General features: G+C 44.3%; 1 long non-coding RNA gene across 2 annotated transcripts; it reads left to right on the forward strand.

Annotated features, from left to right (window-relative positions):
* The first annotated feature begins 7735 nt into the window (after positions 1-7735).
* LOC124903926 (uncharacterized) lies at positions 7736-13443 on the forward strand. Of its 2 annotated transcripts, none has more exons than XR_007065618.1 (2): positions 7736-11072; positions 13020-13443. It is a non-coding gene; the product is annotated as an uncharacterized LOC124903926 (long non-coding RNA). The 2 variants fall into 2 exon arrangements; XR_007065619.1 differs by having other exon boundaries at positions 7736-10852.
* The last annotated feature ends 317 nt before the right edge of the window (positions 13444-13760 follow it).

A 13760-nucleotide genomic window follows, 5' to 3' on the forward strand; every position in this document is an offset into this window, starting at 1 on the left:
TGTTCTCACGATAGTGAATAAGTCTCATGAGATCTGATGGTTTTACAAGGGGGATTTTCCCTGAACAAGCTCTCTCTTTGCCTGCTGCCATCCATGTAAGAGGTGACTTGCTCCTCCTTGCCTTCTGCCATGATTGTGATGCTTCCCCAGCCATGTGCAACTGTGAGTCCATTAAATCTCTTTTTCTTCCCATTCTCAGATGTGTCTTTATCAGCAGCATGAAAATGGACTAATACAGCAACCTCAATTCCCCTTTTTCATATAACCTAACAATTCACAGGGCCCAGGGATGAGGGCATGGACATTTTGGTGGGTAGGGAGCATTATTCTACCTACTCCATATGGGGAGAAAACAACAAATACCAATGTAGAGCATTCTTTAAAAATACTCATTTTGGCTTAGGAAACTTTGATGCTCAACTAGTGATCTTCTGAACCCATGCTTTAATGAAAAATAGCATGGACTTTCCACTCCTTTAGGCCTGAGTTCGATCCTACCAAGTCTATGACTTGAGTGTGTGTGTTTAACTTCTCTGTACTTCAGCTTCCTCCTCCATAAAATGCAGATAATGATGCGGAACTAGATGAAATGTTTGGGGAACTAGATGAAATCAAATATGCTTTTAAAAAAACATTATAAATGCCTTTCTTTTTTTTTTTTTTTGCTTTCCTTACTTTCCTTTTCCTTTCCTTCCAGCCTGGAACCATTAACTGAATATACCAAGAATGCTCTTGAGTGAGGACCCATGCTGTCTTGGTCATGCTATGTCTCAGCTGCAGAAGTGACCTGGTGCTAGAAATCTGAAACTAGCATTCCACCGGGATGACAATCCATAATCTCCTCATGCTCCTTCTGCCCCATATTTCAGGTCTTGTTATCTCCAGGAGCGAGAGCCATTCAAGGTCTTCTTTTTGTCTTTCTTTTCTCACAGCTTACAATGACAAGGGCCAGGAAGCCAAGGAGAGGATATTTGGGGGTTGCTAAGTAGGAGCCGCCAGGACAGTGATCTCGAGGGCCTATCTGAATGATGGGAGGTATTGAAGAATTCCCAATAGACTGCATCCAGATCATGGCTACAGCAAGCTTTTCCCCATCCCTTTGAGCAACTTATATTCCTTTTTTTGTCTTTTTTTTTTAAAGTTTTATTTTAAGTTCTGGGATACATGTGAAGAATGTGCAGGTTTGTTACATAGGCATACATACGCCATGGTGGTTTGCTGCACCTATCAACCCGTCATCTAGGCTTTAAGCCCTGCATGGATTAGGTATTTGTCCTAATGCTCCCTCTCCTCTTGTCCCCCACCCCCTGACAGGCCCTGGTGTGTGATGTTCCCCTCTCTGTGTCCATGTGTTCTCATTGTTCAACTCCCACTTCTTAGTGAGAACATGTGGTGTTTGGTTTTCTGTTCTGTGTTACTTTGCTGAGAATGATGGTTTCCAGCTTCATCCATGTCCCTACGAAGGACATGAACTCATTCTTTTTCATGGCTGCATAGTATTCCACGGTGTATATGTGACACATTTTCTTTATCCAGTCTATCACTGATGGGCATTTGGGTTGGTTCCAAGTCTTTGTTATTGTAAATGAGCAACTTACATTTCTTTAAAGTGTTGGTGAGCTCTGCACATCTGTAACCACAGCCATGGGCTTCTGATGAGAACTTCTTATTTTACTTTATGTTTGAAGGAGCTTGGCTGCCTTTGACCTCACCACCCTAGGAATTGGAATGGAATGAGTGAAGGAGTTCCTATGTTGGTTTGTGGCAGGAAGATAGTCCAGTTGGATTTAAGTGGTATCATTATGGAAATGCAACCAGTGCAGGTATCAAAGCCTTTGCAAAACATTCTAGAAGGTTACTCATGTTTTAGCTGAAAAAGCAGTCTGCTGATTATAAAATATGGCTCCTCAGCTTTCCTTTCAGTTTTAGACAGTTACCATACCTCATTGGCAGCTCACAATGCATCTTCACAGATATGAGCACTTTTCTTGGTGCACGGGTTCCTAGCAGAGTCTCAGAGTCAGACAGGCCAGTGTTGAAATTCCAGTTCTCCTGAAACTAGCAGTCACTTAATCTTTCTGAGTTTCAGTTCTCCTAACTGTAAAATGGTGGCACTAATAACTATTTCCTTGAATTGCTGTGCTTATTAAATGCCCCTAGCACGGCACCAAGCCCTCATTAAGCACTTGGAAACTTATATCCATTTCTTCTTTTTTGGGTTCTCTGCATATAATGTTTATATACATCTTAATTAAAACTGCTTCTTTCCTTAAAATATCTAATATTCACGTATAGAAGGGTATTCACAGAAAAGGATGCAGCTACCTTTCCTTCTCTGGGCACAGTAGACATTTGCCTTCCCAGATTTGGAAATGAAGGAAGCAAGATTGCCTTTTGGGGAATTAGGCACAGTGCATCACAGTACAGATATGTGAACTCAGCTGAAGGAGAAGGCACAGCTCTCAGGTAGACAAGCCCCCACAGCCACCAGATTGAATGTATTTCCATCAAGAAAGGATGTGTCCATCAGAGGAAGGACTTGTCAGCTCTGGAATAAGAAAGAAATGTGAGTACCAGAGGCAAATATCAGCAGGATCCATCCTAGGGTATTCCCCTTAACCAGTGACTGGAAGAGTTCTGGTTTTGTCAGGGCAGAGGTGGAGCCCACATATTTTAAGCGACTCTGGTCTCACTGGCAAGACCGTCCTCCTTGCGGAATGAAAACACTGAGGTATCTCAGCTGGATGCCTGAAGCACTGGATTATTGAACTTCCCCCTTTCTGACTTCAGGCTCACCAGAAACTTTCAGTCTATGATTTGGCTTCTCCTTGGAGTCTGTCTGTGGGGAGACTTTGGGCTCATTCTATGGAATCTGAGTTTTTAGGTCTCCGTGCCAGGAATTTCTCACAGTAAATGAAGGCATTGGCATTCTGGTTTTATCTGCCAGTGTTCTGTGCTTGGTTAAAGTGTCTCTATTGAGAGATGGATCCCTTTTCAGATTCTGTAGCATCCAAGTAGCAGATCTAGGATGATGGAAAATTCCCCAAAGTAAGCCATATTAGTTTATGAGACATCTTGGAAGATAGTCTGCTGGCCTTTCCTCTTGGTGACAACCATCTGGCATTTCAGAAGAAGAACATTTCCAACTTTGACACTAACCATACAGCCCCTCCCCACTCCATCTCACTCAATAACAGCCCATGGTGTTGGTGTCACATGCTAGAAAGATTCTGGAATTTGGAACCAAACAGACCTGGGCTTGATTCTGTCTCTGCTGCCTTCTGTCTATATAATACTGGGCATGTAATGTAATGTTTCTGAACATCGGTTTCTCCATCTGTAAAATGAGATTCCTCATAGGGATGTTGCAAGGATGAAAGTGACGCAGCTCAACGAAATGTAGCTATGATTATCACGTACATTGGCAATGACTCATTGATGTAGAATGATGGTCAAGTGTGGATCTTTCATTCTAATACGTACAGTGAATCTGTTATATGCAATGGCGCCTGACTAGTTTTCAGTGATGTGCCATCGTCATGGCCTTTCCTGGGGTGGACTTCTCCTTAAGGAAGGCTAATGGATTTCTGCACCTAAGAGCTCAAGGACCTTGCTGAGTTTTTATTTTCCCCACAAACTAACAAAGTTGCAATACCTCAGTCTGGCTTCACTGTTCCAGGTATTGGTAAAATTAGGTTGTCTCTCCTCTCTGGGCAAAACTGTGCTTTGATTCTTTTGATTATAAGGGGAGAGCATTTTAGCACATCCAGAGATGAAAACAATCACAGTTTCCCTCTCAGCAAAGTTCTGGCTGCATTGCCGAGCAATAGCCAGGTGGCCTGCTTTGCTTCCATCCTTCTGTGCATTCTTTTTACAAGGTCTGAACAGGCTGGAGCTTCCCCAAATGCTTTGTGATGGGAATGGTCATGGAGGGCCTTCACCTATGGCCTCAAGTTGAGCCCCTGAAAGTATAAAGAGGCAACAATTTTGGCAAAGCAAGTTTGTTTTAAAGGTATAAGCATATATATGTCAGTGTTTTGGTCTTCCTTAAAGTAGAAATTACTGCTTCATGGTACCATTCGATCAGAACTTTGGTAACTGGTTCGTTAAATGAGAACATTCTTTTTTGTATCTGCCCATTTCTACCTGATCTCTGTCCCTGGAAAACATTTTGGGTGAATGCAGTCGCTTTTGTGGTCACTCTTAGACAATAACGACAAATTTGATATAATAATGTTACTTGGCTACTTCTAGGTAAGAGAAAATCTAGTCCAATCTAATATACAAACTCCAGACTCTCCTTCCACCACTTGGCCGATTTCAGGTTTGGAAGTCATAGTGGGGGAAATAGTTGTGATTGCTTCTCCACCCATTTCCATCTTACCTACCCTAACACCCCAGCAGACATTTTAGGACCCTCCTGTGTTGGGGTCGTAGGTGGGGAGGAGAGAGGAGAGGAAGGACAGAAGAGGCTTCCTGCACCTGCCTGTAACCTGTATGTGGCAGTAAGCATATGTCTCTCTCTCTCTGTGTGGCACTTTGTGAATTCCTCCATGAGCCCTCTGACTGCAGCCCCTAAAGCTGAGGAAGCCACCACACGTTGGCTGCCTTTGACTTTTTTCTCTTGACAGCTGTGCACCCAATGGCACGCCCACAGCTCCTGCTGAGATTGCCTCACTGCTGGCAGGAAGCCCACATGGGCAAGCTTCTTTTCTTCCTCTTCATTAAAAAAAAAAAAAACACTTAAGTGGTAACCTGATTATAAAAGCAACACACGTGACAACAGAATATTTCTAAAAATAAGAGAGCAGAAGATAATTAGTCAAATTCCCGCCACCTACGTCCCAAATGCCCATCAGCAGATGAATGAAGAAGCAAATCGTTGTACATTCCCACACTGGAGTACCACTCAGCGATAAAAAGGAGTGAACTATTGATACGACAACATGGTTGCATCTAAAAATAATCACGCTGAGTGAAAGAAGGCGGACAAAAAAAAGCATGCATACTGTCTGATTCCATTTCTATAAAATGCTCAAAAATACGCACTGATTTACAGTGACAGAGAGCAGAGCGGTGATTGCTTTTTAATGAGGCAAAGGGAAGGGTGGGAGGGATGGATGCTAAAGGAGTAGAAGGACGTTTCTGGGTGTGATGGATGAGTTCCTTATCTTGATTATGGAGACAGTTTTGTGCATGTATCAAATTGCATCCTTTAAGTACGTGCAGTTCTTTGTAAATCTATTATGTCTCAATAAAACTATTTAAACATTTTTACTGTTGGGCATATTCAGACAGGGTCTTTTTCTTTCTTTATTTTTATTTTTTATTTTACTTTAAGTTCCAGGACATATGTGCAGGACATGCAGGCTTGTTACATAGGTATACGTGTGCCACGGTGGTTTGCTGCCTCTATTGACCCATCCTCTACGTTCCCTCCCCTTGCCCCTCACCCCCCAACAGGCCCTGGTGTGTGTTGTTCCCCTCCCTGTGTCCATGTGTTCTCATTGTTCAACCCCCACTTATGAGTGAGAACATGTGGTGTTTGGTTTTCTGTTCCTGTGTTAGTTTGCTGAGAATGATGGCTTCCAGCCTCATCCATGTCCCTGCAAAGGACATGGTCTCATTCCTTTTTATGGCCGCATAGTATTCCATCGTGTATATGTCAGACAGGGTCTTTTTCTAGAAGGGCCATGGCTGGTTCTTTCCTGGACCACCCATCACAGGCTCCTTCCCCCACGCTCAGTGTAAGTGCAGCTTGCATCTTTGGCAGCCTCTGTATTCAGCTGTTGCCTATTACCTGTAGACTCTTTAGGAATGAGCCTGGCTGCCACCCAGGCTTCAGGGAGCCTCGATAGTTCTCCTTAAGTCCTGTCCTTTCTCTGACCTGAGGTGTTGGACCCGAAGCTTGCTCTCACACATGTGTGGAGAGCAACCCATATAAAACACCAATATCTCTCTTCAAAGATCTAATCCTTTGCATCTCTTTAACCTCCTGTGAGTCTCGGCTTTTTCCTCCATAGCCTGGAGACAGGTGCACATCTATTGAAAGCAGCAGTAGCTTTTGGCAATGCCCTTCGCCAAGCCTACACATGTGGTTCAGCATTACAGTGGGTGTCTACTTGGCACTCATTGTTTTTAGCTTTGGGGTCACAGCTGAAACTCTGAGATGACAAAAAGTCTCATTTTAATGACCTGTTTCACTTCCCTTTGGTTCACTGGGATACAAAGAGATGAATTTTTCCCAATATATTTTTAGAGGCATATTTATCATAAGAGCAGGCCAGCAGCCTCTCTGAGTGCTGAGGCCCTAATAGGGACTTGCAGTTATTGTATACCTACACCCCCACAAGGCCCCCAAAGATGCAGAGTGGACCTTTTGGTCCCTCTCCTCCCTTTGTCTAAGGACATCAGATAGTGATCATAAATATTCATCCCATCTATTTCCTGATGCTGGGAAGGGAAAATATTGCAAACACCACGAGCACTTGTTGAAGACACACATACGCCAGGCACTGTACCCAGAACTGACTCTACAGTGGTGATGGACAGGTCCTGCCCACGTGGATCCCCCAGTCTAGCAGACTGGACAACAGGATGGTGGCCTGGAGAAGAGGGTGAACATAAACTGGTGGACAAAGGGCCACATGGTTCGCCTCCAGAGATCTTCTTTAGAAAGGAGTCAAAGGGCTGGGCGCGGCGGCTCATGCCTGTAATCCCAGCACTTTGGGAGGCCGAGGTGGGTAGATCATGAGGTCAAGAGTTCGAGACCAGCCTGACCAACATGGTGAAACCCCGTCTCTGCTAAAAATACAAAAATTAGCCGGGTGTGGTGGTTCACACCTGTAATCTCAGGTATTCAGGAGACTGAGGCAGGAGAATCACTTGAACCTGGGAGGTTGCAGTGAGCTGAGATTGCGCCACTGCACTCCAGCCTGGGCAACAGAGTGAGACTCTGTCTCAAAAAAAAAAAAAAAAAAAAGAAAAGAAAAGAAAAGAAAAGAGTCAAGGGTGAGCAGTGCAAGGCTGAACAGCTTTCCATATTAGCCAAATACACCACCTCCGTCAGGATCCTCCCTCATAGAAGTCACCAGCACAGAAATGAGTCAGAACATTGTCACGTGAGCAATGGGAGCAGAATCTCCCCTCCTCGTGTCCTTGCTGCTGGGCCACAGGCCAGTGGTAGGCCTCTAAAGGGTTTAGAGTCACACAGGATGATGAAGGGGACAAATCAAGAAGAAAAGAAAAAAGGGAGCTTGCCAGGCACCTTCTTCTGCACCTCCAATTCCAAATGCACTCAGTGGATGCGTGGGAAGTGCTGAATCACATATGAAAGCAAAGCTTTAAACAGGATAGACCAAGCTTTAACAACAACAACACAAAAGCTTGAATGTCTACGAAGTTGGATCTGCATCTCATGGAGAGCCCAGGAGGTTTTTGCAGAGTACAGCTGGTAATAAAAATATGGAGGATCTAGGCCAGGTGCAGTGGCTCACGCCTGTAATCCCAGCACTTTGGGAAGCCAAGGCAGTCTGATTGCTTGAGCTCAGGAGTTAGAGACTAGACGGAGCAACATGGGGAAAACCTGTCTCTACAAAATACAAAAAATTTAGCAGGGCGTGGTGGTGAGCACCTGTAGACCCAGCTACTTGGGAGGCTACTTGCTTGAGGCCAAGAAGTTGAGGCTGCAGTGAGCCGTGATCGTGCCATGCATTTCAGCCTGGGTGACAGAAGACAGAAAAAGACCATGTCTTAAAAAAAAAAGAGGAAGATTTACCATGCCTCAGAGACTAAGTGCCTTACATTGTAATATAAAGTCTTTGAATCCTCACAATGACCCCAGGAGGTAGGTGCTGTTATTAACATCGTCCTTTCCTCCATGAGGCTAATAAGACACAGAGAGATTAAGTGTCTTGTCCAAGGTCATAGAGCTAGAACCTTGACTCCAGAAACAGCATCTGCAACCCCCAACCCCCCACCCTCGCGGCCTTTTGCCTATTCTGCAATCTCATGAAATTTCCTTTCCTTCTTTGAGGCCAGGAGCTCTCCAAGGTGCTGGAGAGAGGCCCAGAAGCAGCGTAGAGAGGCAGCCCCGCCAGACCCTGCAAGACCATAGTAAGGACCAGGATTTTATTTTGAGAATTAAGGGAAACCACAGGCGTCTAAATGAATCACTGCTGCTTCCGCGCTGTCATAGCCAGCACTCTGGCTGTGTCTCTATTTAGCACTTGAGAGCTGGCTGTTTACGTGCCTACTTCTCCTTCTGGACTGGAAATGTCTTAGAGCAGGGACTGCATCTTAGCCATTTTTATATCTTCTTCACGCTGTCCCAGTTACACAGCACAGTGCTGGCATATATTAAACATTTAGTACCTGTTTATTGAATGAAATTAAAGTAGAAATGGATTCTTAATTATCTTTGAAAAATCTCATTTTCCGGCAGCCCAATTAATTTCAAAGAGACTCAGGAATTTCTACAGTATCATGGCAATAACAATGGTAATGTTAATTCCGGTTACTAAGCTCTCAGTGTTACATGCTGGGATTTGGGCAAAACACTTTATATCACCCTTAGTATATTGAGAGAGAGGTACTCTAGGTCCTCCCAGTCACTGGTAGTCCTTTCCCAAGCAGAAGACTCACCTGGGCGAGCTTATAAATCCCAGAGGTTAAGGAGAATACGATTTCACAGGAGTGGCCACTAGGTGGTGGTGTGACACCATCATCACCTCGCCGTGGGCTAGTGGGCAACTTGGACCAATTGCGCGGGGCCGGTGGAGTGGCTGGGGGCCTCTTGGGAATCAAGATGGCCAAGATGGGGGTCTGTGCACCAAACTCTGTAGTTGAAGTTGAGGGCTTTCCAGTTTATGCTGCCCATGAGCAGATGAATGGAGAGGACTCTTACTAAGCCAGGGTGCATTTTCTTCTTGTTGAAATCTGAAAATTATTCACTTCATTTCAACTCAGTTGAACAAGACATTATTGAGTCTCAGCTCTCACTAACACCCCCTCTGTCTTCACACCCTCTATTTTAGACTGGATTGGGGTGTGGGGACAGGAAGGCCACCAGTCCCAGTTCTCACATTTATGAAGAACATGATTAGGCATTTAATGTTGCATTCAAATAAGGCCATGCATACGATCATTATATCCCTCCCGATGTTAAAACAGTTTATTCGTTCTTACGAATAATGGTATATTTAAGTTGTACCATTATTTTTGTGCTCTTTTTTTAGCATACCTTCGTTTTAAAAATATGTCAGCATCTTTAGATATTGGAAGTATTTAGGACTCCTTTCTCAATTTTTGAAGAGCTACCTGTTTGAAGAGCAACTAAAATGCTTGCAGTCCCATCAAAATAACTAATCGACCACGCTTTCTCTGATTTTATTGTTTTTGCGCTTGCTAATTTCCACTTCTGGAACAGTTTCTTCTCTGTCTTAAGTTGATCTATTCCTGCCTATTCTTCAGATTTTAGATTGGACATCACCTCCTGTGCAAAACAAGAGCTTGTTAGGTGCTTGCTTTTACCCCATTGTTATTCTTTCTACTATGCTGTAATTCACGAATCCTTCTCTGTGTCCCCTAAAAGATCAGGGGTTCTCAACTTGGGGTATTTGGACCTTTAGGCTATCCATGATATGCCCTTAAAATTTTGTATTATTTACTTACTGCCACAATAATACAGAATAAGAGCAACCACAAAACCTCAGTGGCCCATAGTAAGTGAATATTTGTTATGTGTCTAGAGTCAGCTGAAATTCAGCCAGGCAGGGGTCCTGCCACTCTTGGATGGGCTTGTTTACACCTCTGGGATTACCTGACTGCTGGCTGATGGAGATTGGCCCTTGCTGCGGCAACTGAGCCGTGTTCCACATGCTTCCCATCTCCCTTCTGGACTAGAAGGCTAACCCAGGAGGTCCTTCTCATAATGGTTGTGGAAATGCAAAAGATCAGGCCCCAAAATGCAAGTCTGTTTCATCAGCTTCTGCATTGGCCATTCCCACTAACATCCCTTTGACCAAAGCAAGTTACATGGATGAGCTCAAATTCAAGTGGTGGGGAAGGCCCCCCTACTCACAGAGGGAAGGTTGGCCATGCTGCGTGGCCAAGGGCATCATTCAGAAAAGAGAGAAGAATTAGGGCCATTGCTGCTATCTACCATGGATTGTATGCCAAAATACTGTATATTTTCTGGAAAGATGATCTAAGGCTTTTACCAATTTCTTACTGGGACCCATATCTGCAAAAGTTCAAGAACCTCTGATATAGACCCAACTTTGAGTTTAGGGACTATATTTTCTTTATTTGTATATCTTCAAAACCTAAAATATAGGGCCTTGATCATAACAGGCGCTCAATAAATGTATGTAGAATGAATGAGTGCCTTTTGTATGCAGGCCATGTATAGTATTAGGTTCTGGGGATACAGAATTTAGCCAACCAAGGACTCTATTCTCAAGGAGCTTCTACTATGTGTGCTCTCTGAGAGAGCTGTTTTTCAGGGGTTGGAGTCAGGAGGCAGGTGGACATCCTTCCGCCTCAGCCAGTATGTGTTTGCATCATTATGATGCCTTGAGGGTGAAATTCAAGAAAGAACAAGTTCAGGGGAAACATAATAAACAAAGATGCTCAACTTCTGGGGTCCCAAATGTGAATTATCCTGCAGAAACCATATGCTGTGCAAGTAAACATATATGTGGGCATAAAAAAATAGAAGTGGAGACCTCATATTTGTTGGTGTCACAAAGTGAATAATGCATTTTCTTAGCAGCTAGTTCCAGAATCCCGGTCCAACAAGGAGATTGCCTCTGTCCAAGAAAATATCTTGATAAGCTGCTCAGGGCAGAAGGTGAGAGACCCTGAAGGCATGGGTGTCCAGTGAAATGAATTGTTTATTTTTTCCTCACAATGCAGGAAAGAGACAAAGGAGATAGAAGAAGTGGAATAAGGGGAAAGATAAGAACTGGAAAGCTGAACCATAGCCCAGACCCAAGCAGGAGAAAGAGCAAGAAATGCCTATGAGAAAGCCGGAAAGAAACCCCTGGAATTTGGAAGAAAATGTCTAAAAGGTTGTTTTCAGGAGATGGCTGGAAGGTGTTCTCTGGGACCCTCCCTCATGACTCCTAAGTAACCACACTTGCAAATGCATCTTGCATTTTGTTTCCTCCAGCTTTGTTTTGGTTTTGCTATCATGGAACTGAGAAAAAGACTGAGTTACTCATCAGGATTGGTGTGGTCCCAAAGAGATATCACTTGGTAAATGTAGTAACAGATTTAGTAGCAGGACCCTGGAGATGGAGGTTTCTAGGCTTGTGCTTCTGAAGTCTTAGGGACTTGGGGAAGGGTCTGGAAGCTCAGAGACTGTGGAACCATGGGATATCAGGGCATCTGTGCCTGGCACTTGCTCTACGACACTTTCTACTTGTAATGTTGGGCTGGTTTCTTAAATGTTCTGCTTCTGTTTTCTCACCTCTAGACTGAGGATAATAGTATCTTCTTCCTGGGGTCTTGGGGAGCTATCTAATGAGAAATGGAGACATCATACAAGACATAGCACCTGGCACACACACTTATACATGTTAGCTCTCATTATTTTAGATGTCACTGGGTTGTTATTATTATTTCTTTTGTTGTTCCCAGTAGCTGACATTTGGGTAGCATTGGCCTGGTGGACTGGAAGCAACACAGGACTGAGGGTCAGAAAACCAGTCTGGTCTTTGCTCCTCCCCTAAACAGCCATGCGACCTTGAGGAAGTCACTTTGCCCTTCCAGGCTTCAGGCTTCCTCTTCCTCCTCTAACTGAAGAAATTCGACAAGACTTTCTCTGAGGGTTGTTTTTTCCCCTCAACCTGTAGGAGGCACCATGGCCCCGCAGCTCCCAGCCTCACAAAGCCTGTTTTGACATTGGAGGAAGCAGCCCTGTTGCAGTCCACGGTCCACTCCGAAATCCATTTTCCCCACTCAGCATAACACTGAAATGAGACTGACTTGGTGTGTTTGTTTACACCCCTTGGGAAGTTATTTCCCCTTTCACTTAATTACCTGATATCCAGACATTGCTGTGCAAAATTCGCCTCAAATACATTTTGTAAAGTCATCTAGACTTGCTCCTCTGGTGCTTTGATTAAAATGTGCAATCTTCCCCAGGCTTCAGCACCTCATTAAATAATTGCACCTCCAGTGAGAAAGTAAACAGCACACTCCGGGGGCACAGAGAACAAGATAAACGTGGTGCACATCCAGCAGCTATTTTATACTCCATCCCCCGGGCAAACACATAACCTCTGGCTTAAGGGCTGGATGGATACTGGCTTTAAGTTGCTTTCTTTTTGCAATCTTTTTGGGAAGGAGTATGATCTAGAAGCAGAGCAGAATCTCCTCTCCCCGCCCTTTCCCAGCTCAGTGTCTGCTTAACTTGGGCTCAGCCCCGGCGGAAGGACCAAGGGTTGGTTGTTCACTGGGAACCTGGCTCATCCCCTAGCAGCAACTTTGCATGCAAAGTACCAGGCGTGGGGGCTGGATACAGAGCACATTTCCTAGAGGGTGTTGCAGTGCTGTTAAGGGATTGGCAACTTTGAATCAAGTCCCACCTTTCTCATTAATTCTTGATGTTGACCTTGAGCATTTCACTTTACCTTTTCTGACCTTCATTTTCCCCCTGCCTCTTCTATAAAATGAATCTGGGGTACGACTATAGAGGGAGTGGCTGAGTTAGGATGGAGGAAAAAAATCAGTGGAAAAGATGAGGTCAAGGAACTGACTCACAAAGCCTATGATGACAGGTGATGATAATGACCAACAGCACAAGGAGCCACCTTTGGGCTCCAGGATAGGAAGCTTGATTCAAGATGATGTCCTAACCACCATGGTCCCAAAAAAGGCTGAAGGATGCTGGTTGGTGAGGGTGTTGGTGGAAATTTCTTTTCCGTGGCATTACAACTCCAAGGTATGGGAATTGAGGATCTAACCACCAGGCTGGCATAGATTCTTCTTGAATTTGTCTTCTTGTTCCACAGGGAATGGCAAGGAACCTGAGGAACCAGCGTGAGGAAAACCTGGATGATCTGACGTCTTCCTCACTTTATCCCTACCTGTCCACGCCTCCATCCATCCACCCATCCATCACTGATCAAGCTCTCACTATGTCTATAGTGTAGAAGGTGCCACCAAATGCAATGGAACCTCTTGTCTCATGTGTCTACTTGCATCTTTAAGTTGATACACGGAAGGCACAGTCCAAGCACAGGATACTGGAAGCTATGGAGGTACAGTGGCCTCTGAGCAAACTGAAAACTCTCTATCACTAAAGGGTTGGGCATACAGGGTATCTCCTCTGCTCTGCCACCTACCTTGAGGATGCTTTACATGTGGCTAAAAGTGGAGGCAGAGATATTTGGATAAATAAATGCTAGAGAATTGGAAATTCCTAGGACAAGTCAATTTGGATATGTCTATGTCATCCTTTTTTTTCTAAGAGACACGTAACTCTGATCCTTAAGGAGTTAGAGAGTTCCCATAGCTTAGGGTCTGGAAGCCATATTCCTTTTTATGTAACATCCTTGAATATGCTACTCGTATACCCTAAATTTACTCTGTAATTTTTTTTTTTTTATTTGAGAGGGAGTCTCACTCTGCTGCCTATCCTGAAGTGCAGTGGTGTGATCTTCACTCACTGCAACCTCCTCCACCCAAGTTCAAGCGATTTTCCCACCTCAGGCTCCTGAGTACCTGGGATTACAGGCACATGCCACCAAACC

This window comes from Homo sapiens, chromosome 17, assembly GCF_000001405.40.
Source record: "Homo sapiens chromosome 17, GRCh38.p14 Primary Assembly".
Lineage (NCBI taxonomy): Eukaryota > Metazoa > Chordata > Mammalia > Primates > Hominidae > Homo > Homo sapiens.